Genomic DNA, 21,816 nt, shown 5'->3' with positions numbered 1-21,816 from the left:
TCTCCTAAGCCATGAGCCCACAAGCCTCCACTTTTTATTTTATTTTATTTTATTTTATTTATTTATTTATTTATTTATTTATTGAGACGGAATCTCGCTCTGTGTCCCAGGCTGGAGTGCAGTGGTGCAATCTAGGCTCACTGCAAGCTCCACCTCCTGGGTTCATGCCATTCTCCTTCCTCAGCCTCCTGAGTAGCTGGGACTACAGGTGCCTGCCACCACGCCCGGCTAATTTTTTTGTATTTATTTTTGTATTTTTAGTAGAGACGGGGTTTCACCTTGTTAGCCAGGATGGTCTCGATCTCCTGACCTCGTGATCCGCCCGCCTCAGCCTCCCAAAGTGCTGGGATTACAGGCATGAGCCGCCGCGACCAGCAAGCCTCTCCACCTTTCTATAAAGATTTCCGTTTGATTACTTATACCTTTTTAATAGGTATAAGCAGTCAAGATGGTGCAAAAACCTGTTCCTTACACCCTTTTATGTCATGCTAATCTTACAACATTATCACTTTCTGTGGTTTTCTGGGTAACGTTTTCAGCTCCACTATGGATTAATTTTGCTCTTCTGGGCCACCTACCTGATGACCATTTATAACTTTGTGGAAAGGTACGTTCCACATGACCAAGTTTCAGAAGGATCTTGGAAATATAACTAGTTTCTAAACTGGGAGCTTCTTGTGTACTTTGACTTCTGCTATAAATAACACTATAGTAGACTCTGCTTTACCTTGGCCGCTTAACTTTGAGGATTAGTGGGACAGCATTTGACAGCCCGTGAATAAGTTAGTTAGCTAGTTATTGGACTATGAGACCTGAATATAGAAACTGAGACGTAAAGCAGCTACTGTATTTGGTTTTGTTTGCTTCCCCATGATCGAACTCAAGCCAGGGACTGCAGGGCCATTTTCCCTTCTTTCAGCTGGTGAAATCTGTGCTTTCTGTCTTATACACGTTCTTTTTCTTCTAGACCCTTGGCTTCTGCGTTCGAAGAGTCCTGTAGGTAACCCCCAGCTGATCCAGTTCAGTAGAGAAGTGATTGACTTGCTGAAAAGCCAGCCATCTTGTGTCATACCCATCAGTCATTTCATCCCATCCTATCACCATCATTTTGCAAAGCAGTGCCGAGTGTCAGACTACGGATACTCCAAGCTGATTGAGTTATTAGAAGCAGTGCCTCATGTATTGCAGGTAAGGCGTGTCACGGGATTACTTGTTTACAGGCAGGAATGTTCCTCCATGGCTTTGGCTGCCTCCATCAAAGAAACAGTTTAATTCCTAAGAAGTCAGTTCTGGGCAGAACATCCACTAAAAACTTTCTTCAGAGGGCAGGAATAACACACACAGGCGGCTTCTCAATTTTTCAGAACGCTGCTAGTTTCCAGTTTTAGAGGAACTCCTTGGAGGACTGAGGAGTATTTTCCCTCTAAGCTCTATAGACCTTCTTCATCCCAGCACAGCTTTCTCCAGAACTGTTCATGATTACAAGGAAGCTCCCATGAATAGCCACATACTTGTATGTTGGTGCCTATGTGAGAGTCAAGGGCTTAACCTTTCTTCTAAATTTAACTAGTTGGAGACAAGTTACTGGGCTAGAGTGTAGCACTGGATCCTATGAAGACTTTTACCAGTTAACTCACAGTGTTATAACAGCTTCCCACTCACTAAAAACGGCTTGAAAAACTTGTAGACCAATTTGTCTGGACAACCAATACAGTTTTCATTTCTGTACTCACGACTTTTCTTTTCAAAAGATTACACTTTTCATTTTTATACTCAACGACTGTTTGGGAGAAGGTGTGCCAGGCCAAAAACGATAAGAGTTTCAGAAGGCCTTGGACATTTGTTCCTTTTGACCAACTACATTTTGTTGATCGACATGTGTTTCAAATTGCACACATTCTACATAAAGGGAGTCATGCTCTGAGGCTAGTAACGAGAGGGTGAGCCAGCAGCAAGGAAGTCGCTGTCTGCTGAGGTCTTATGTGTATAAATAAACTATTTGCTTTGCAGATTCTTGGAATGGGCTCCAAACGTCTGCTGACCCTTACCCACAGGGCCCAGGTGAAGCGCTTTACTCAGGATTTACTAAAACTTCTCAAATCCCAGGCCAGCAAACAGGTCATTGTGAGAGAATTCTCACAGGCTTATCACTGGTGAGTTGATGAAAAGAACAGAAATGAAAGTAAATATTTTAGGACATTTTATCTTCTGCCAAACTCTAAATAGTTATCTAGTATTTCTATTAAGCATTCTTTTGGAAAACTTGTAGTAGTTTTTTGTTTTTTTTTTTTTTTTTTTGAGACGGAGTCTCGCTCTGTCGCCCAGTGGCACGATCTTGGCTCACTGCAAGCTCCGCCTCCCGGGTTTATGCCGTTGTCCTGCCTCAGCCTCCAGAGTAGCTGGGACTACAGGCGCCCGCCACCACACCCGGCTTATTTTTTCTATTTTTTAGTAGAGACGGGGTTTCACCATGTTAGCCAGGATGGTCGCGATCTCTTGACCTCGTGATCCGTCCACCTCGGCCTCCCAAAGTGCTGGGATTACAGGCGTGAGCCCCAGCGCCCGGCCGGAAAACTTGTAGTTCTTCTACCGATGATACTACTCATTCCGTATCCACTTCCGTTGTTAAAACCTAGGTGTTTCTCAAAGGACTGGGATGTCACTGAATATGGTGTTTGTGAGTTGATTGACATCGTATCAGAGATTCCAGACACAACCATCTGCTTGTCCCAACAAGATAATGAAATGGTGATTTGTATCCCCAAAAGAGGTATGTGACTTAACATTTGCTGGAAGGATATTGTCTATCTCCTGTTATTTTAACATAGTGTGGCATGGAAGATGTGGTTTTCCCTCCCTGTCCGTGCTTCCTGAAGATTCCACAGAAAGCACAGTGTGAAAACTGCTGCTCTTTGGATTCTGTGTTCTTCAAAGTAGGTGAAGCTGTTCTCAAGAACAAAAGCAGGCTGGCTTTTTAGAATTGACTCTAAGGGGAAAAAGGGGCATCATCAGCACTTTGCTCAAATGCCTTCTGCAGCCTGGCTGTGGCTACATGAGCCTTAGTCATCCAGTTGAGAATCTGTCACCGTGCCTGTTGGCTTTGCTCTTCTGTTGAACTCTGAGCTACTTTATTTACTGTGCACACTTGAGAAGGGAAGACAACTCGAATGTTTTTTTTTCTTTTGCCTTTCAAATTTTAATAGTTGAAGTCAGAACTGCACAGGTCCAGTTACGGGTAGAAAGTACAGTATTTGAGGGATGCGAAACTCATGGATACTGGGGGCCAATTTTTCGTGTCTGCAGTTTCCGCGGGGCAGACCGCAAGACTTGAGTAGGTGCGGATTTTGGTATCCAGGCAGGGTCCTGGACCCGATCCCTTGAGAACACCAAGGGGTGACTGTATGGTCGTATCCTCCTTCTATTATCTGGTTCTTAAACGGTGCTCCTGCAGAACATTGATGTCCATGAAATCATAGAATTCCAGGGCCCATTCTCACTTAAAAATTAATAGAAACAATCTCAGCTTAAGCTTTCCCTCCTGTTTATTTTTGTTCAACTTTTGAAGCCTGATTCTCTCTTCTGCTAGCAAGTTTTAACTGAAGATCAGATGAATAAACAAAAAAAGTGGGGATATTCAGAAGCGTGATTTCATGGGAATAATTTCTAGAGTACTTGCTTAAGTACAGGGACCTGGGTGTGTGTCATGTTAATAGATATGGGGCAGGGGCTAGAAAATTGTTTCTAGCTTATAAGATGACATTGTTTCTAGCTTATAAGATGAATATATATGAATTTCATAATATAATAATATCATAACTTCCTGGTGTTCTGCCCTGGAACATGTTTGAGAACCACTTGCAAAGAGGGAAGAGTATATGTGTTTGTTTTAGGTTGTGTGTGTTTGGAAGGCAAGGATGATATCGTTTATAAATTCCCAAAAGGATTTACTCTAGTGTGGATGTTGAACACAAATGGGTAGAAAAAAACTGTGATTTTATGTTTTTTGGTTTTTTTAAAAGAACGCACTCAGGATGAAATAGAAAGGACAAAACAGTTCTCCAAGGATGTCGTTGATTTGCTGCGTCACCAACCCCATTTCCGGATGCCCTTTAATAAATTTATCCCTTCTTACCATCACCACTTTGGCCGGCAGTGCAAACTTGCGTACTATGGGTTTACCAAACTACTTGAACTTTTTGAAGCCATACCTGATACTTTACAAGTGAGTGAAGAAATTCTAATTTTATAAAGTATTTTTCTGAACAACGTATAGGAAATACTTTTTCACGTTCCAGACCTGTTTTTCTGGGAAGTAGGGAGTTACGAAAGAGGATGAAAATCTAAGCTATTCCAGTCAGAGAAGCCATATTCCTGACTCATTAGTATTTTTAGATAAATATGGCTTTTTCCTTCAATAAAGGATTATTCAAACTTGTTTTGGGGGTAATTATTGAAAAAAAGATTCAGTAGGTTTTCTTTTTTTTGTTTGTTTGTTTTTGTTTTTTGAGACGGAGTTTCTTTCTTGTCGCCCAGGCTGGAGTGCAATGGCGCAATCTTGGCTCACTGCAACCTCCGCCTGCGGGTTCAAGCAGTTCACTTGCCTCAACCTCCCGAGTAGCTGGGGATTACAGGTGCCCGCCACCATGCCCAGCTAATTTTTCTATTTTTAGTAGAGATGGTGTTTCACCACGTTGGCCAGGCTGGTCTTGAGCTCCTGACCTCAGTTGATCCGCCTGTCTCAGCCTCCCAGAGTGCTGGGATTACAGGCGTGAGCCACCACACCTGCTGATTTCTTACACTGAATATTTGTTCATTACTTTTATACTTTTAAAATCCTTCGTGTTGAAGGTAGGTCTGAGTACATGAGGTAACATCAGTGCTAAGCTGTTCGCTGTTGCTAAGTTAAACCAAATTTCTGTTGTTGATTTTATTTTCTTTTTTTACTACTGAAGTGCTTTTTAAAAATTGTTTTATTGTGGCACAATACACATAACATAGAACTTACCTTCGTAACTATCTTTATATCTCCTGTCCAGTAGTGGTCAGCACATTCACATTGTTATGCAACCGATCTTCTGAACTTTTTCATCTTACACAACTGAAACTTTATACCCATTCAGTAACGCTGACTTGTTTTTTCATTACTAGCTGCATACTTTTTTTGCTATTCTGTAAACACCCGTGATTTGTTTATTTTCCCTTTCCTCCCCCCGTGTGTTTTCAAAGGTATTGGAATGTGGAGAAGAAAAGATCCTTACTCTGACAGAGGTGGAGCGGTTCAAAGCTCTAGCTGCCCAGTTTGTTAAACTCCTTCGGTCCCAAAAAGATAACTGCCTTATGATGACAGATCTCCTTACAGAATATGCTAAAACTTTTGGTTATACATTTCGTCTCCAAGACTATGATGTCAGTTCCATTTCGGCTTTAACTCAGAAACTCTGCCATGTCGTGAAGGTAAATGTTTTTTTTTTTTTTTTTTTTTTTCCCTCATGGGATAAAACTCACAGTGACCTAATTCTCATTAGGACGTTTGCGTGTGCTGTAGCGTTTCTTTATTTACACCTTGAACTACTTAACTGTCACAGCATTATGACTCGTTTTGTGTCATTAGTGCTTATTAGGTAATAGAAGCCTTGGTTTGGAAGTTGAGAGTTTTGGTCTTCCTCTTGTGTGTTTCTGAATGGCCTTGCCAAAGCAATGCCTTTGTGAACTGATGAGGTCACTCTTCACCCCAGGGTTCGGTCATGAGGTGCAGCTGCCTCAGCACTGCTGGCCTGAGCTTGACTCCTTCCAGTGTGAGTTTTGCCTGTGACGTTCTTGGGAGCCCGTAATCACACAGTGTCCTCTCCCTCCACATTCTCACCCACTTAGGAGTAGGCTTAGGAGCAAGCGAGGGTGCAGAGTGGCCTTTGTCACTGGCAGAGCTGTAGTAGAGAGGGCAGCTCGTGCTGTTTGCTGTCCTGGACTGCACTTGACCCTTCCTGTCCTAGGCAGAGCAGCTGCCAGTTTTCGGCCTCCTCCCCCACAGGACCAGAAGAAGTCACTGCCAGGAGGAAGGAATGGAAAGGGAAGCATGAAGGACGGCACCCTCAGTTACAGGCCCATTACTAGCTGCACACATTTCTGTGTCATTTAATTCCGTAAACAGCCAGAACGGGTTCACTCTCCCTTTCCTTCCCACTGTGGGGTTTTTTTGGAGTTGGAGTCTTGCTCTGTGGCCCAGGCTAGAGTGCAGTGGTGCGATCTTGGCTCACTGCAACCTCCGCCTCCCAGGTTCAAGAGATTCTTCTTCCTCAGCCTCCTGGGTAGCTGGGATTACAGGCGCCCGCCACTACGCCCAGCTAGTTTTTGTATTTTTAGTAGAGACAGGGCTTCACCGTGTTGGCCAGGCTGATCTCGAACTCCTGGCCTCAGGTAATCCGCCCACCTCAGCCTCCCAGAGTGCTGGGATTACAGGCATGAGCCACTGCACCCAGCCCCCACTGTTTTTTAATGTATTGGACTGCAGCTAAGAAGACGTTCTTACCTTGGCAGAGGTAGGAACGCTCAGAGCTCTCCTTAGGTACTGATTGGTTGGAGGAGGAGGTGAGAGAGCAGGAAGCACAACCAGGAGAGCCGAACATCCCTGAGCCAAGGCAGAGGAATGGCCAGCAGCATCGCAGGAGGGCTGGTCAGAGAGGGACTGCCTGACTTCCAGGTTTAGCTCAGTGGGAAGAGTCGGTGCTGCTGGCCAGGTCAGTGGCAGTGTTGGTTGTGTAGACAGAAGCCACCTTGGAGTGTGGTGAGGAGTGAGGAGAGGTGAGAAAATGGCCCAGGTCATCTGGACAGCATCCTGGTTTGTCTGCTTGTGAAGATGGAGGGCTGTGGCAGCAGCTAGAGGCTGTGGGGCTGAGGGAGCAAGGGAGGATTTGGGCTGTTGGTTTTCCTACCTGGAAAAACTTGAGCATGTCTGAAAGCCATTGATGTGGATCTGTCTAGAGAGAGAAGATGAACATACAAGGGCGAGAAGGGGTAAGACAGGAGGGCCTTGAGGTGTGGGAGACTAGGAAACAGCACACAGAGGAAGGAGGAAGTATACAGGGCAATAGGCTGGGGGCAGGCATGGGCAGGTCTGATGTTTATCATCAGGAATAGAAGGGAGTCCTCTTCCAAGAGTGGTTTTCCACTAGAGAGAGGGACTGATCTCTGCTTAGAGAGAGAGAGGAGAGGCAGGGCTCAGGACTTAGGAGTGGGGAGAAGGTCCACAGTTGTCATGGTGAGTGGAGAGTGGCTTGATCAGGATGTCACGTGGAGTGCAGGGGTATCGAGAGCTCACTGCAAGTTGGCACCGTAGACTCTGGGAGAGCAGCAGTTGGGGTGTGGCTATGCAGGTGTCGGTTCAGGGAAAGCAGGTGGTTGGATTCAAGGTGGGAGTTTACCGATGGGCGTCAGGAAAAGGCATGGGATGAGCGAATTTAAATATTGACAAGAATGTCAGTGCCAGCATGACAAAAGAGGAGAGTGAAGCAAGGGAGTGGGCTGGCAAATTGGGAGCAGATAGGAGGCAGTGATGCTGCTGAGGTTTGAGAAGGGGCGGAGTTGAGCGGGTAGAGTCTCTTTCTGCACTCCCACCCCAACAGCAGCTCCAGACTTGCTTTTGCAAGTGGGATGCTCAGGAGGTTTGAATGATTTATGTTGGATGGGGTAATGACAGGTTTGCACTGTGACCCTGGAGATGGGTGTCTGCAGTGAAATTGAACACAGGAGGATGTCGTCGGAGATGACAGAGGCAAGGCATTGAAAGGCTATACGGCTGTGGTGTGGGACAGGTCCCTGGGTGTTCAGTTGCCCAGGATGATGAAAGGGGTGGACTCAGGTGGATAGGAAGACCCCACGCCATGACCTAGGGCTTTGCTGGGTGAGTGTGATGGGTGGGCAGCTGGGGTGTGAGCAGCAAGAATGGGGAGAGCTGAGAGAGGCTCCGTGGTGCCTCCCTGGCTGCCCACTGGGTCTCCTGGGAGCTTCTCCAACCTTACCTTTCAGATTCTTATAGAATTAGTCCCAGCACACTCTGAGCATTGGTGTTTTTAAAAGCTCCCCAGGCAATTCTAATGCATAGCCGGGATTGAGAATCAAGGGATGGATCCAAGTCGCACCAGAGGAGCAGGCTCTGGTTTGGTTTCTTTCCTAAGCAGCTGTAGTGATGGTGGGGGTCTGGGTGGCTAAGATGACTGGGATCCCCTGGACTTGTATCGGTTGGTTGATTAAACCCGCTTCTGAGGAGGAAATCTATACAGTCCCATAATCATGATAAGTAGGGTGGGACCCTGCCAGCCTCCCTCCTGCCTTGGCTCTGGGCACATGTCAGAACCAGATAAAGATGCCCTGGTCTTGGGATGGCTCCTCAAGTGCCACCCACCTCTCTCTGCCTCTCAGAATCCACGGTCCAAAGAGTGCCAACTTGTGGTGACTTAGCCCTGCCAAGACCTTTGGCCCTGGCAGGAAAACCAGATAAAGGGGGCAAACAAGCTGTCAGGATGAGCATTGGTTTGTGAGAGCAGTGCCGGAGCCGTGTGTGTGCCAAAGCTCTGCCTGTTTTTGTGCCAGGAAAGGCTCACGCCACAGCCTCACCCTCGCCACCCACAGCCTGCTGGCTCAGTCACCAGATGCGTGTTTCTTCACATGGTGTTTGGTCCCCAAGTGACAATCTCTGTCTTTTTTGTAAGGTTTCCCTCTCAGCGCATTTAACCGCTTAAACCCTTTATCTCCTTGAGAATCTGAAATAATTGAGGAGTGGACAGTTACTAGTCAGATGAAAATACCAGCTTTGTGGTGAGTAATAGCAGACTAGAAAAATGCAGCTTGCCTTGTAATCAGAGTAGGCCCTCTCTCACCTCCCCAGCCCGCCCTGGGGACGCATATGGGCAAGTCGGGTCTGCACAGAAGCCATGTGAGTGTTGCTTAGAGTCTAGCCTCCCCATCCCTACCCCCCTTCGAGCACAGCAACCCACACTTCACAAGCTTGGACCACTGGCCATCAGCTGGCCAGTCTGTGTCCTTCTTATAGTGGGGTTTGGAAAGAATGAATGAAAAATAAAGAGAATGATGCAATTTCCTCCCCCATTATTATCTTGTTGAGAGTTTTCAGTTATGGACCGGCAGGGGGAGGACAGTTTCTGCTTCCATGTTGGTCTGGTGTCCCAAAGACGCTAAAAACAAACCCACTTGCTTTATTTCAGTGTAAGAGAAAAAAATTAGAGATTTTTCATCTGTTGGTCTCATTAACCAAAATGAAGTGAGCTGAGTTGGGTATAACCTAGGGTGTCTCTCTTGAGCTCTGAAAAGTGTGAATTCTCGTTTTCCCCAGGTTGCCGATATAGAATCTGGCAGACAGATTCAGCTGATCAACCGAAAGTCTCTGCGATCTCTCACTGCCCAGTTGCTGGTATTGTTGATGTCTTGGGAAGGAACCACCCATCTTTCTGTTGAGGAGCTCAAGAGACATTACGAAAGTACCCACAACACTCCCCTTAACCCCTGTGAATATGGATTCATGACCTTGACCGAACTGCTGAAGAGCCTGCCATACTTGGTTGAGGTAGGCACGTTAATGGCTCTTTAGAACTATCATTGAAAACTATCGATTGGGCATTTCCGGATTACCTGATGGTCTAGATTAGAGTGTGTAGAGCTGGAAGGGACCCGAGAGACCATTTCATGGATGAACACGCCGAGACCTCAGGCAGTGAAGCAGCCCTGCCTAAATGGGTGGCAGAAGCCAGTGAAAGCCTGGTCTCCTCATCCTGGCACTGGGGTGTGTTTGTCCCGTTCTAGGATGAAAGCCTGGTCTCCTGATCCTGGCTCTGGGGTGTGTTTGTCCCATTCCAGGATGGATTTCGCTACTGTTTTATCTTTCTGAATGAGATGGTTTATGTGGTGGCTTGAAGAGAGAGATGAGTAAGGTGAGGGCAGAAAGGAAGGTTGGCCAGCCAGTCCCCCAGGCAGCCTTTCAAGAATGGCGCTCCAAGATTGAGAGAATCTTAAGAGAATACTGCATGCAATTCTCGGGCGACAGATATAAAAACCTAGAGTAAATAAATGAAATCCTGGAAAAAATAAGTTACCAAAATTCACTCAAGAAGTTAAAAATTAGACCAATTACCATAAAAGAGACTATAAAAGATCACTGAAATATACCAGTGAAAAAGGCATCAGGACCAAGTGAGATAACAATTGAATTTCAACCAACCCTAAAAGAACAGATAAATCTACCTTTTAAAAAACCATTCTGGGGCCCGGCAAGGTGGTACACGTCTATAATCCCAGCTACTAAGAAGGCTGAGGCTAGAGAATCACTTGAGCCCAGGAGTTTGAGGCCAGCCTGGGCAACATAGCAAGAACCCATCCCCAAGAAAAAAAATACTGTTCTAGGCTGCTGAAAAAGAAAAAAGGAAAGCTTACCATTTATTTTTACGAAGCCAAAATAAATTTAATACCAAAAACATAAGATAGTCCCTTAAAATGATCCTAAATAAGATATTAACAAATGAGCTCCAGCAATTTAAAAGAATGATATGCCATTATCATCTAACTGTGGGACACATCATTAAATAATGAAAGGATATACATCCAGCATTTTCTAAACTCTGTTAATATCTATCCTAAGAACACCAGTTCTGGACAGGTGTTAATGCATATTTCAGGACAAAGGACTTTCCCTGTCCAGCTAAGATTGGGAATATCCTTTCTCTTGGCGATTCCATAGCATGTTAAACACTTTGAAAAGGTTTGTGGTAAAGAAATCTGCTTCCTTACCCTGCATACACAAGGGTTTTGTGTTTGTTTCTTGTTGCTTTTGATGTGTTTTTAAAGAATGCTAGTGTCATCCTCTTATCACAGTGTTTCTTGGAAAACTGGTTTGGAGGTGCAGTTTAATGGCCCCAGTGTTCACTGTGTGTACCGTGATTTGCCAACACAGTTTGCCTCCCCCGATTTCTTCCCTACTCACACACTGTCTCTTCAGACCGCTGCAGCCTTCGACTTGCAAATAGAACTGAAGTTTGCTGGAGGCTATAGCCTTCTCTTGGAGGAAATCCTTGAATATATCCCTCCTCCTTTTCTTTCTCCTCTTCCTTCTTTCCTTCCTCCTCCTCCTTTCTTCTTCTTTGTCTTTTTTGTCATCTTCATCTTCTTCATCTTTGTCTTTGTCCAATTCGTCGTCTTCGTCTTCTTTATCGTCGTCTTCGTCTTCTTCATCGTCGTCTTCGTCTTGTCTTCGTCTTCTTGTTCTTTGTCTTCATCTTTGTCGTCTTTATCTTCGTTTTTGTCTCGTCGTCTTTGTCTTCATCTTCTTTGTTGTTGTCTTCTTTATCTTTGTCGTCTCCTTCTTCTTCGTCATCTTTGTCTCCTTCTTCATCTTCATCTTCTCATCTTCGTTGCCTTCTTTTTCTTCTTTGTCTTCGTCTTCAACTCTGGGCCTTTTCCCTCAGTGGGAGGCCTTCACTTTCCACGGGGCAGGGCCAGTCACTAATATTTCTAATGCTGCGTTTTCTTTTTAACCAGGTTTTCACTAATGATAAGATGGAAGAATGTGTGAAGCTCACAAGTCTGTATTTGTTTGCAAAGAATGTGCGGTCTTTACTTCATACTTACCACTACCAGCAGATTTTCCTTCATGAGTTTTCCATGGCCTATACCAAGTATGTCGGAGAAACTCTGCAGCCCAAGACCTACGGCCACAGCAGCGTGGAGGAGCTCTTGGGAGCAATTCCACAGGTGGGCATTTTTCTCAGCTTCCGGGAGAGCATCTTCTGAACAGCCACAGGCTAACTGTCCTGAACAGAAAAATAAAATGCTGCCAGAATAATGGAACGGCAGGCATTTTGAATTGATCCTTTCAAAACATACTGTTGGTCTAAAGTAAATGATTTTAGCATTTCTCCTTGATTCTTTCTGTAAACCTTTATTAAATCCCTATATGCCAGGTGAGTAAGTTTCAGGCTGTAACTCTAGAAAGGTGTTGGTTAATGGGAGAGTCAAGACCCCCAAGCAGGCAACTAGTCAGGGCGGTCAGGGCAGTGGGCGCGCTGAGGAGGGCCGTGTCAGGGCCCACTTCCCAAGCCTGGGGAGCCTGTTGCAAAACCTTCAAGGATGTGCCTGAGGGAAGCACGTGACAAGGAGGGGAGAGAGCATTCTGGGCAAAGGGGATGATGACATGAGCAGATGCAGGGTTGTGACAAGTGGCATGGAGTGTCGAGAGGCTAAGAGGGAGCTGAGAGCTCGGTTAGGGAGGGCGTGGCTCCTCCAGGTAAGGAGGGAGGACTGTGTTGGAGAGAGCTGGAGCCCAGGTTTGCATTTGAAAAGCACCCCAGTGGTGCTGTCCATGGTAGAGCCGAGAGAAGCAGGCATGGAGAAGGGAACTGGGCTAGGATCCTGGCCACTGCAGAGGTCTGGGTCAGTGTTAGATGGAGGGATTGAGCCAGAGTAAAAATAGTAGAATAGAGGAAGTAGGAAGGACCCAGGCAAAGCTTGCCTGGGAGCTGAGATCAGTGACCTGGCGACGGTGTGCACATGTAGGGGGCCTGGGAGCCTAGCTCCACTACTACCACTCTGCTTGGCTGAGATGGAGAGCGGCACCATCAGGGAGAGGACTTTAAGATGCTGATAATGAACTTAGTTTAAAGGGTCTGAGAGATTGCTCTTAATTCTTTTAGGTGGTTGTTCAGTTTCTGCAAAAAAATGGCAAAGAGCTCTCATGTGAGAACTACCTTAATTTATATGCCAAAGCTGGTGTTTGGAAGACAGTCTTTTTAAGAATTATAAAGGATATTTCTGAAACTGTGTCTCATGATTTTTGAACTACTCTGCTTTTTATAGGGGTATGTTTCTGTCAGCTTCTGTTGCTTTAAAAGCTAAGGAGAGAGTAGAGAAACATGCTTCTTGGCAGTAACTCAGCTCCTAAATTCTAGCCTAAGGCAGGCTCCGTAGGTCACACTCTTCCTGAATGTTAGGGCTTCTGTCCCCTCCTTTTCCGCTGCTTAACCAGTAGTATGTCTTGTGTGCAGGTGGTCTGGATAAAAGGACATGGTCATAAGAGAATTGTAGTGTTAAAAAATGACATGAAAAGTAAGTAAGCACCCATCCCCTCCCCCCTTAAAAAATCACGGTTCTCTCACTGACATTTCTCTCTGACGGGTGCTCTTTGTCCTGTAGGTCGTTTGAGTTCACTCAGTCTCTCCCCTGCCAATCATGAAAACCAGCCCTCGGAGGGCGAGCGCATCCTGGAGGTGCCCGAATCGCACACAGCCTCGGAACTCAAGCTTGGAGCTGACGGCAGTGGTAAGAGAGGAAAAGCAGAGACATAGGAGCTTGTGAAATTCTAGGAGAAACGGCTTTGGGGTCGGGGAGAGCGAGGGAAAGGACTCCAGCAAGTCATCCAATCTGCTGAAGTTACATAGCCACACATTTTTCAAAGCAGTTTTGGTATTTAGTTAGTAACAGGATAAAATTGACCTTTATCTGTTAGCATTGCATGGTTGACTGGTTAAAGTCCCTGAAGGATGTTGGCACCCCCATAATGATCATCTTACCCCAGTTCAGATGTTGAAGAAAAAAATTATTCCGACACTTATTATAATGGATATTCATGACACTTGCAACAGGGGAGAGAGAGCCAACTCCCAATACATAGCCTAGGAGCAGAGTGAGGGCTCAGTGGGTGGAAAATTACTAAGAGGATTCTTGCTATAGGCATGCAGGCCAGCCAAGGATCTAGACATCAGTGGTTGGGAATAAGGAATTCGATCAGCTGTGAAGGGTGAGGGGATTCTCACTAAACTGACTCAAGCTAAGACTCTAGAGCGAGCCGGCAAGTTCAGCAACAGACATGGAAGGCCAAGGTCAGGCCTGATCCGGAAGAGGGCTCAGGGTGCCTGACTCATGGCTGGTCAAGGCGTCTTTGTCACAGGACAGCCCTAGGCAGGATTTGATATACTAATGCATTAATATTACCCAAAATTACACTGAGTCACATAGATTTCAGATAGATCCACCTCTGTAGTAGATAGAGGCCAATTCTTGGAATGTTATAGCAGTTCTAACTTTTCTGAAGGACTTTTGAATTCATCGTTATAGGTGAGAATTTTGTCTTCATAACATGCGGCGAGATAGCACGTTACCGTCCCCTGTGCCCTTAGGATAACTGAGTTACACAGCATTTGACGTTTTATGAAGCGCCCTCCTGGGAATCATCTGCCGAAGCTGCCCCACAGCCTTCAGCAGTGCTGACCTCCGTTGTGCAGCGGAGGCTCGGAAATCTCAGGCAGTCACGTATTACAGCTCACCCAGAGTCAGCAGCTAGGAAGCCACGGAACCAGGCCCAGGGCTTCGGATTCTGAGCTTCCACTTGCTGTTAACTACGTACACCCCGTCTCAGGCTGTCCCTTCTCTTTGGAAGCTGACTGCAGGACCCTTTTCTCTGGTTGGGTCTTTTGAGGGGCCAGTGTTCCTAAGAACACGGATCTTCAGAAGAACTAGCTTATTAAGGCGTTCCATTACCAGGATCTTCCTGTTAGTGGGTTTTGGGTTTTTGTTTTTTTTTTTTTTTTTTTTTAATACCTTAAATACTTCTTGACTCTCTTATCTTTAAGGCTTAGAAGGAAAACTTCAGGTGTGAGCCCAGGGTGTGTGCTGGGGGTGGGCGTGGAGGTCCTGTGGTGTCACGGCCCTCCTTGTTTGCCCAGGGCCCAGTCACACAGAGCAGGAGCTTCTCCGCCTGACCGACGACTCCCCCGTCGACCTCCTGTGTGCGCCTGTCCCCTCGTGCCTGCCGTCCCCTCAGCTGAGACCAGACCCCGTTATCCTCCAATCTGCTGATCTCATTCAGTTTGAGGAGCGCCCTCAAGAGCCTTCTGGTGGGTGACTCCATGTTGTCATGGGGATTTTCTTCGGGGTTTAAAACAAAACCACGATGAGATACTGATATAGTAAATGACGGAGGTGGGAAGGGACTACCCCTTTTCAGGTGGAAAACACTGTGCTGATTATTCGACCTTCTTTCCCCACCTGGGTTCCTGCAGAATGGGATGCACAGCCTGAGGTTGCCTGGCGAGCATCAGGCAAGGGCGATTTGGCAGCTCTGGAGGGCTGGTGGCTCGGGGCTGTGGGCGAGTCCACAGGGGTGGGTGGGGCCTCCTGGGCTTCTGCTCTCCCAGACTTTGTGAAGGTTCAGCTGCTCTCAGGCACACCTGTCACCAGATGTACACGTCACCCATGGTGGGGGTCCAGAGGGCCCAAGGGCTTTATAAAGGGGTGAATGGAGGGAGGTGTCTGTGGCTGGAGCCCCGGACTCTGCCCAGTGATATAACAGACAGGAAGCTGAGCACACTGAGTCCCAGCCTAGTGCAGGCATTGGCACTGACCCTGTGCTCAGGGCTGACAGACACCATCACATTTAACTCTTACCACGGCTCCAGGTGAGAGCCGTGGAATAAAGGCAGCTGCTTTATTCCACAGGCTGCGTGACTAAGGCACAGCTGGTGCCGTCACTAGAGAGGCAGTGGCCCCGGGCTGCTGGGCTAGCAAGGGCAGAGCCGGCATTGGAACCCAAGCCCTCTTGTCCTGCGGTGTCTCCTGGCCTCTGGAGAGGATGGCCCATCTGCCCTGTACAGATCCCTCCCTGCTCTTCATCTGTTGGAACCCAACTCCTCCCCACTGCTGGTGCTGCTTTCCAGGTCACCAGGAACAACCCGTGGACTCCTGGCTTGGCTTTTACCATCTTGGTTGTTCTTGGCAGCGTTCAGCACTGTTGCCCAGGAAAAGAACTGAGGCTGTTGACTTGGAAAATAGGAGATGGGGAAGTAACTGCCTGCGGATAGAACCAGCCTGTGCAGTCAGACCTAGACCATGCCCTGCTCCTGTGCAGTGCCCCCCTAGGGTTGGTGGCACATTGATGTTAGCTCGTTTGTGGGGTTGTGGCCTTTGTGCCTTCAGTCTGGGCAAGTTCAACTGCATGCACCGGACAAGAGAGGAAAATAATTAAAACACTGTGGGCAGTTCTGTCAGCCGCTCTTCTCTTGAGGGTCAGCCTAGGCAGGGAGCTGGCTCTGCTGTCCCCTCTGCCACTCTCACCTTCCATGGGCCTTTGGGAGCAGGAGCCCTGTGCCCTATGCAGTGGGAGTCTAAGGCATAATGATGCATCTCTTTCAAGCAGCGTGGCCCTGTGTGTAGAGCAGGTGAATTACATGTGGCTCAGCCACAGAAATGGCAGTCCAGAAGCACTGTGGGAAAGCTGGCTGTGCTCAACTTCCTGGGTTCTGAGGGTAATTCTCACTCTGCGTAGTCCTTCCTTATCCCCGGTAATAGACCCATGGGGAGCATAGGTCCTCTCTAAATGGAGCAGGCCAGGAGCTCCCTGACACCCAGATGCTCCGACCCCACCCCCTACCACCCACGGCCTCCCGCCTCAGGAAGTCTCTAAGTCGTGGATAGCTTTATGGGTCCTTAATATCTGGCAGGCAGAATGAATGGGCAGAGAATCCAAAATGGAAAAACAAAAAGTTTTAACCTTTGCTCATTCATTTATAGCTCAAAATAGAGATCTTTCCAACTTTGTAATCCAGTGGGAGAGGTGGGATGCAGTTTATAGATACTTGATTTCTGTGCCAAGTTCACTGGCCACACAACTCATATGTAAACTGTGGCATAGATGTAGCATTTAGAAGCTTTTTATTACTATTATTATCTTTTGAGAAAATATGAGCAAGGAAGAGAAAACCCACACTTCTTACAGTTCCTGGATCTGAATCTGTTTGCTTTTCTGTGTTTACAGAAATTATGATTTTAAACCAAGAAGAAAAAATGGAGATTCCAATACCAGGAAAGAGCAAAACTCTGACCTCTGACTCCAGCTCGTCCTGCATCTCAGCAGCTGTCCCCGTGCCTCCCTGCCCCTCCTCGGAAACCTCCGAGTCACTGCTCAGCAAGGACCCCGTGGAAAGCCCGGCCAAAAAGCAACCCAAAAATAGAGTCAAATTGGCAGCCAACTTTTCCTTAGCACCTATAACCAAGCTTTAACTCCCATTTGGAATATAGAATTAGGATGGGAAAACACTGTCTGATTCTGCACACAAAAGTGGGTTTCAAAAATACATCCTTTTCTGTGTCATGAAAACCCCCCGAAGCCATTGACTTCATCTTACCTGTGTTCTATCATGTTTTTCTTTTCCATTGAACACAGCTTTGAGCTGAAGTCTTTCTTTTCTTCTTCCTTTTTCTTTCTTTTTTCAATTATTTGAAGAACTTGTGGCATTTGTTAAAGAATCCTTAATATATTTTACCAAATTTTTAGTAACTATTATGAAATACAATGGTGTTCCAAAAGAAGAAAGCACTAAAAACTCAACTAGCAGGAAGCGGTTTTGCTTCCATTGAGCCACGTCGGTGGTGTCATCCTACATGTAGCATAATAGAGTCTCTCAGCCTTTGCTTACTGGTGTTTCCGACAGTATTAACCCAGTGCGTGGCATGTCTTTGAAGCAAAGCCTGTCCCGCTAGCCTGTGTGTTCACACACCAAAGGAGAAGGGTAGGCGAGGGGTTCGGAGTGTATTTTCAGGTTGGAATGTGAAGGTTCCTGGCTTCCATGTGACTTGTAAGTGTGCCTTGTTTTTTATTTAAACTATGTCTGTAGTTGACAAAAGTGGCTTCATCACAAATTTTTTTAAACGTTTCTACTTTGGGGTTCCATTTAGGAGCTTTCTAGAAAGTTGAGGATGTTTGAAGCTTCCCTTCTGTGTTCCAGTTTGATATGGGTTAGGTTAAGGAAAAGGAGATGGTCTCGATGTCATGGATTTAAAGTCAGCATTTGGATTACAACACACATTATTGTGTGTCGAGAGGCAGCATTGGAAAGAGCCTGATTTTCTAAAATATGCATCAAGTGCATAAATTACAAATCAGAGCTGAGTGGGGAGGTGCTTCAGCAGCAGCGGGATCAATACGATTTCCACTGGGAAGAGACAGGAATTCTACCTACACATAGGAAGGCCAAGGTTGATCCACTTAACCTTGTTATTGTAATTTTAAAGCTGGTATCGGTAGCTGGGAAGCTTTATGTGTGTGTATGTCAGCTCAGCATCTTTTAATCGTGTCTGATTTTACTCTCGTTACTTCTCGCTGTTGGAAGCATCTCTGGGTTTCTTGTGGCGTCTGGTGTGGAATGGCCTTCCTCTCTAGGTGCCTGAGGTGTCCGCTGACGGGTGGCCTCTCACCCCCCTCTAGAGAAACCTGACATTTACAATGGATTGTATTTGTCCGGCAAAAAAGGCGGATTCATTCATAGAGCAGAAAGAACCTGTTGGCGTAAGGTCTTCCACTAGTTAGATGGTTTCTTTTGGGGAAATGTTTATATTTGGTAACTTCTAGAAAGCCAGAAAATGGACTCTGATTTCATAGCATTTTGATAAAATGCCACAAAATAAGGGCTATAGAGAGATTTTTACAAGTCAGATTTTTTGTTCCCCAAATCTTTTAAATGAAGCCAGTGACTCCCAGTTCTCAACACATGGCCCCAGTCAAGACAGAACACCATGGAAAAAACCCTGTAAGTATTATGGCACTCTCCGAATCCTCCTGAAGGCATTTCCTCTACAGACATAGTGTTACAGGAAGTGAAATGCAAATGTGCAATTTTTTTTAAAGGAGCTTTTAAACAAAGTAATAATAATTGGTGTTGAGAACATCAGTTGCCTTATTCTAAGATTTCATAAGGCTGAGTTTGCACGCTTGGACTTCAGTTCTGCTAGCATGTAAAGAGTGGTGGACTTTAAAACCGTAAGAGGTATCATTACAAGTCACCTGGAACAGACTCAAAGAACAGGTTCTTTGGGCAACAGACAAAGAAGAATCAAGTTCTGTGCTGTCCCGTGAGTGTGTCTGAGTACCATTCACTGGAGTTGCTGCTTAGGTCTGGGACGTGTGTGTGACTCTTAACAATTGCTGTCTGAAAATGAGAGAGAAGACTTCGGAAGCACATTGTGTTCATAATGTACTCCACAATGGCCAGTCCAATTGCTATCTATTTTTTTATCCAGAGGCTTAATTAAATGATGTGGTAAAATGATGTTTGAGCATTAAGACAATGTAATTCTTTATTTCTGGGTGGAAAGATATACCGGATTAAATTTATCTGTTTAAAAAAATGACAAAAGTTATCACCAAAACCCCCTTTCCCATCTTGCACTGTTTGTTTTGGATTGGGTTTGGGGGAAAGAGATGTTTTTCTTAGTTGTCTACTTTGTTTGAACACTTTTGTTGTGGTTCAAGTGCTGTTTTGTGTGTTGGGACCAAACAGTTGTCAATAAACTTTACAAGCGAGCATCTATTTTGAGTTTCCCAAGTGAGTGGTTTTGTCTGTCTGTCTGTCTGTGGGGAGGAATTACAAACCAATACAGTTCTGCCATCTTTCATTTTGGGTCTCCTCAACTTCTCTCCCCTTCTGGAAATAGAATTGTGAGGTGGAGAGTAAATCCGTCTACATCTTAGAGGCCTTTTAAACTCAGCACACGCCGAAGCAGGTGGCTGGATGGTGGGCCCTTCGTCGTCAGGATCCTCCAAGTTTTCCAGCCTTTGTTCCAGCTTATAATTACATGTGGGAAAATACAGTAACCACAAAAACCTTCCAGTTAGAAAACTCTATTAATTCCTAGGCTCTCTCTTCTTGTGAAAGAAATCCAGCGTGCCCGCTGTCTCGTTTTTGGTCACTGCTAAGCATGCTTTTTGAATAAGCCAATTTGGAAAAGAGTTATTCCACAGATACAGTTGTGAAGCCCTCCCATCCCCTGAGACCGCCATTACCCCGTCACCCCTGCCACCAGCACCCTCTGGCAAGAATTTAAAAGGACCCAGAAGAGACTTGAGTAAATTGCTTCTTGATGACATTTTTTTCAAGTTCAGCAATGTTAAAAGCTGCTAAAGACCTTTCCAAACATTTCACGATGGCAAATTTGTGCAGAAAAAGTTGAGTAGCCATCGTGCCCCTTTTGAGCGGCGTCAGGAGGTCTTGTTAGGTGTGGACTGGGGCTGGAACGGTGGCTTTGCATTTATCTTTGTTTGTTTCCCACCTAGGAAGGTGATTCAGAGGTGGGGGCCTAGAAGACAGCTGTCTGGGGGAGAGCAGACCTGTCCGTAGCAGAGGGGGCTGCGCTGATTGAAGAAGATCTGTTCCCTCTCTGTTCCCTTTGCCAGAAGGAGCGTTGCGCTTTGGGATTCACCTTCACTTTCTAGCTGCTTCCATGGGCAGAGGGTGAGTCATGGCGCAGAAGCCCTCAGCGGCCTCCACCCACCTGCTGTCCCCATTGCTGGGGGGGGGGGCGGTGGGCGGCAAAACTTCCTCAATTCTCCTAGTGTCCCTGGCTGGGCCTTAAACTGACAAAGACATTAATAGGAAAAAAGCAAACAAATTTTACTTCATACCAGTTTTGCGAGAGTCTTCATAAGGAAATGAAGACCCCAGAGAAATGGCTAAGCCTGAGTGGTTTTTTGTTTTGTTTTTTGGTTTTTTGAGACAGTCTCACTCTGTCACCCAGGCTGGAGTGCAGTGGCATAATCTCAGCTCACTGCAACCTCCACCTCCCAGGTTCAAGCGATTGTCCTGTCTCAGCCTCCCGAGTAGCTGGGATTACATATGTGCACCATCACACTGGCAAATTTTTGTATTTTTAGTAGAGATGAGGTTTCACCATGTTGGCCAGGCTAGTTTTGAACTCCTGAGCTCAAGTGATCCTCTGGGCTCAGCCTCCCAAAGTGCTGGAATTACAGGCATGAGCCACCACGCCTGGCTGAGAACGCTTTTTTTTGGGGGGGGGGGGGGCGGGGGGAAAAGGGCTAGAGAGCTTAGAAGGTGCCAAGCCAGAGCACCAAGAGCCAGAACTTTCCTTAGCAAGATGAAGAGAAGAATACACACGTTCCGGGAAGGAACGCCTTGGAAGTGGGGGAGCTGAGGTGCAGAGGAAGAAGGCATTGCAGGGTGGAAGGGGCCGTTCTTAGAGGGAAATCCTGCTCAGTGGCTGGGCTGCTCAGCTCCTCACTCCGCACGAGGTGGTGAACCAACCAGGAGCATCCGCAGGGGAGCAGTACCAGGGCCAGCAGGGAACATATTGGGCCTGCTTGGCACCGTCTCTTCCATCCGCCTCAGGCAGCTCATGTGATGGCCTCCAAAGGCTTCCCAGGTGCAGGGCCTGGGCATGAGGGAACCCCCGCTCCTACCACCCACCTGCCCCCACTGCAGTTTCTGGTATCAGCAAGTGCAGACAAATCCACACTGGGGCTGCAGGGTCGCCGCCCTTGGTATTTCAGCAGCCAGAGTCTGATGCATCAAGGGCAGGTGTGGCAAGAATCAGGAAATACATTTTTTTTTTTTTTGAGACAGAGTCTCACTCTATCGCCCAGACTGGGGTGCAGTGGCACGATCTCGGCTCACTGCAACCTCCTACCGGGTTCAAGCGATTCTCATGCCTCAGCCTCCGAACAGCTGGGATTACAGATGCTGCCACCACACCTGGCTAATTTTTTTTGAGACGGGGTTTTGCCATGTTGCTCTGGCTCGTCTCAAACTCCTGGCCTCAAGTGGTTCACTTGCCTCGGCCTCCCAAAGTGCGGGGATTACAGGCGTAATATAATATAGATATTATATATAGATATAGATATAGATGTCTCTATAATATCTATATATAAATAGATATATCTATTATATATAATAGAGATATATATCTATATATAATATATAGATATCTATATATTATATATAGATATATATCTATATATTATGTATAGATATAATA

The 21,816-nt window shown here is 46.3% G+C and overlaps 1 protein-coding gene and 1 non-coding gene across 32 annotated transcripts in view, besides 2 other annotated features; both read left to right on the top strand.

The window, feature by feature from the left end:
- The window catches only part of MARF1 (meiosis regulator and mRNA stability factor 1), a 48,768-nt gene extending 29,410 nt beyond the window's left edge, over positions 1-19,358 (top strand). For 30 of the 31 annotated variants that reach the window (XM_047434955.1, XM_047434954.1, XM_047434950.1 and 27 more), the window contains 11 exons: positions 968-1,188; positions 2,011-2,153; positions 2,637-2,770; positions 4,020-4,222; positions 5,227-5,454; positions 9,347-9,577; positions 11,542-11,754; positions 13,044-13,104; positions 13,192-13,317; positions 14,721-14,891; positions 16,808-19,358. In XM_047434955.1, coding sequence (XP_047290911.1) covers positions 968-1,188; positions 2,011-2,153; positions 2,637-2,770; positions 4,020-4,222; positions 5,227-5,454; positions 9,347-9,577; positions 11,542-11,754; positions 13,044-13,104; positions 13,192-13,317; positions 14,721-14,891; positions 16,808-17,052 — 1,976 coding nt within the window. In that variant the 3' untranslated portion in view covers positions 17,053-19,358. Of the gene's footprint in view, positions 1-967; positions 1,189-2,010; positions 2,154-2,636; positions 2,771-4,019; positions 4,223-5,226; positions 5,455-9,346; positions 9,578-11,541; positions 11,755-13,043; positions 13,105-13,191; positions 13,318-14,720; positions 14,892-16,807 lie in introns of those variants that run through there. The other variant, XM_047434952.1, reaches the window with a different exon arrangement.
- On the top strand, positions 2,650-2,715 carry MIR6506 (microRNA 6506). The gene has a single exon (NR_106761.1). It is a non-coding gene; the product is annotated as a microRNA 6506 (primary transcript).
- Positions 2,979-3,273: an enhancer, noted in NCBI's record as "tiled region #10508; HepG2 Activating DNase matched - State 5:Enh". NCBI's record gives its function as "activates a minimal TATA promoter and a strong SV40 promoter by Sharpr-MPRA in HepG2 cells {active_cell/tissue: HepG2}" and the evidence as "EXISTENCE:reporter gene assay evidence [ECO:0000049][PMID:27701403]".
- Positions 13,321-14,520: an enhancer, noted in NCBI's record as "CDK7 strongly-dependent group 2 enhancer chr16:15693082-15694281 (GRCh37/hg19 assembly coordinates)". NCBI's record gives its function as "activates an origin of replication core promoter dependent on BRD2, BRD4, P300/CBP, MED14 and CDK7 cofactors, with strong dependence on CDK7, by STARR-seq in HCT116 cells {active_cell/tissue: HCT116}" and the evidence as "EXISTENCE:reporter gene assay evidence [ECO:0000049][PMID:35650434]".

The sequence above is a fragment of the Homo sapiens genome, chromosome 16, assembly GCF_000001405.40.
Source record: "Homo sapiens chromosome 16, GRCh38.p14 Primary Assembly".
Lineage (NCBI taxonomy): Eukaryota > Metazoa > Chordata > Mammalia > Primates > Hominidae > Homo > Homo sapiens.
This window is presented reverse-complemented; position numbering and strand designations above follow the sequence as displayed.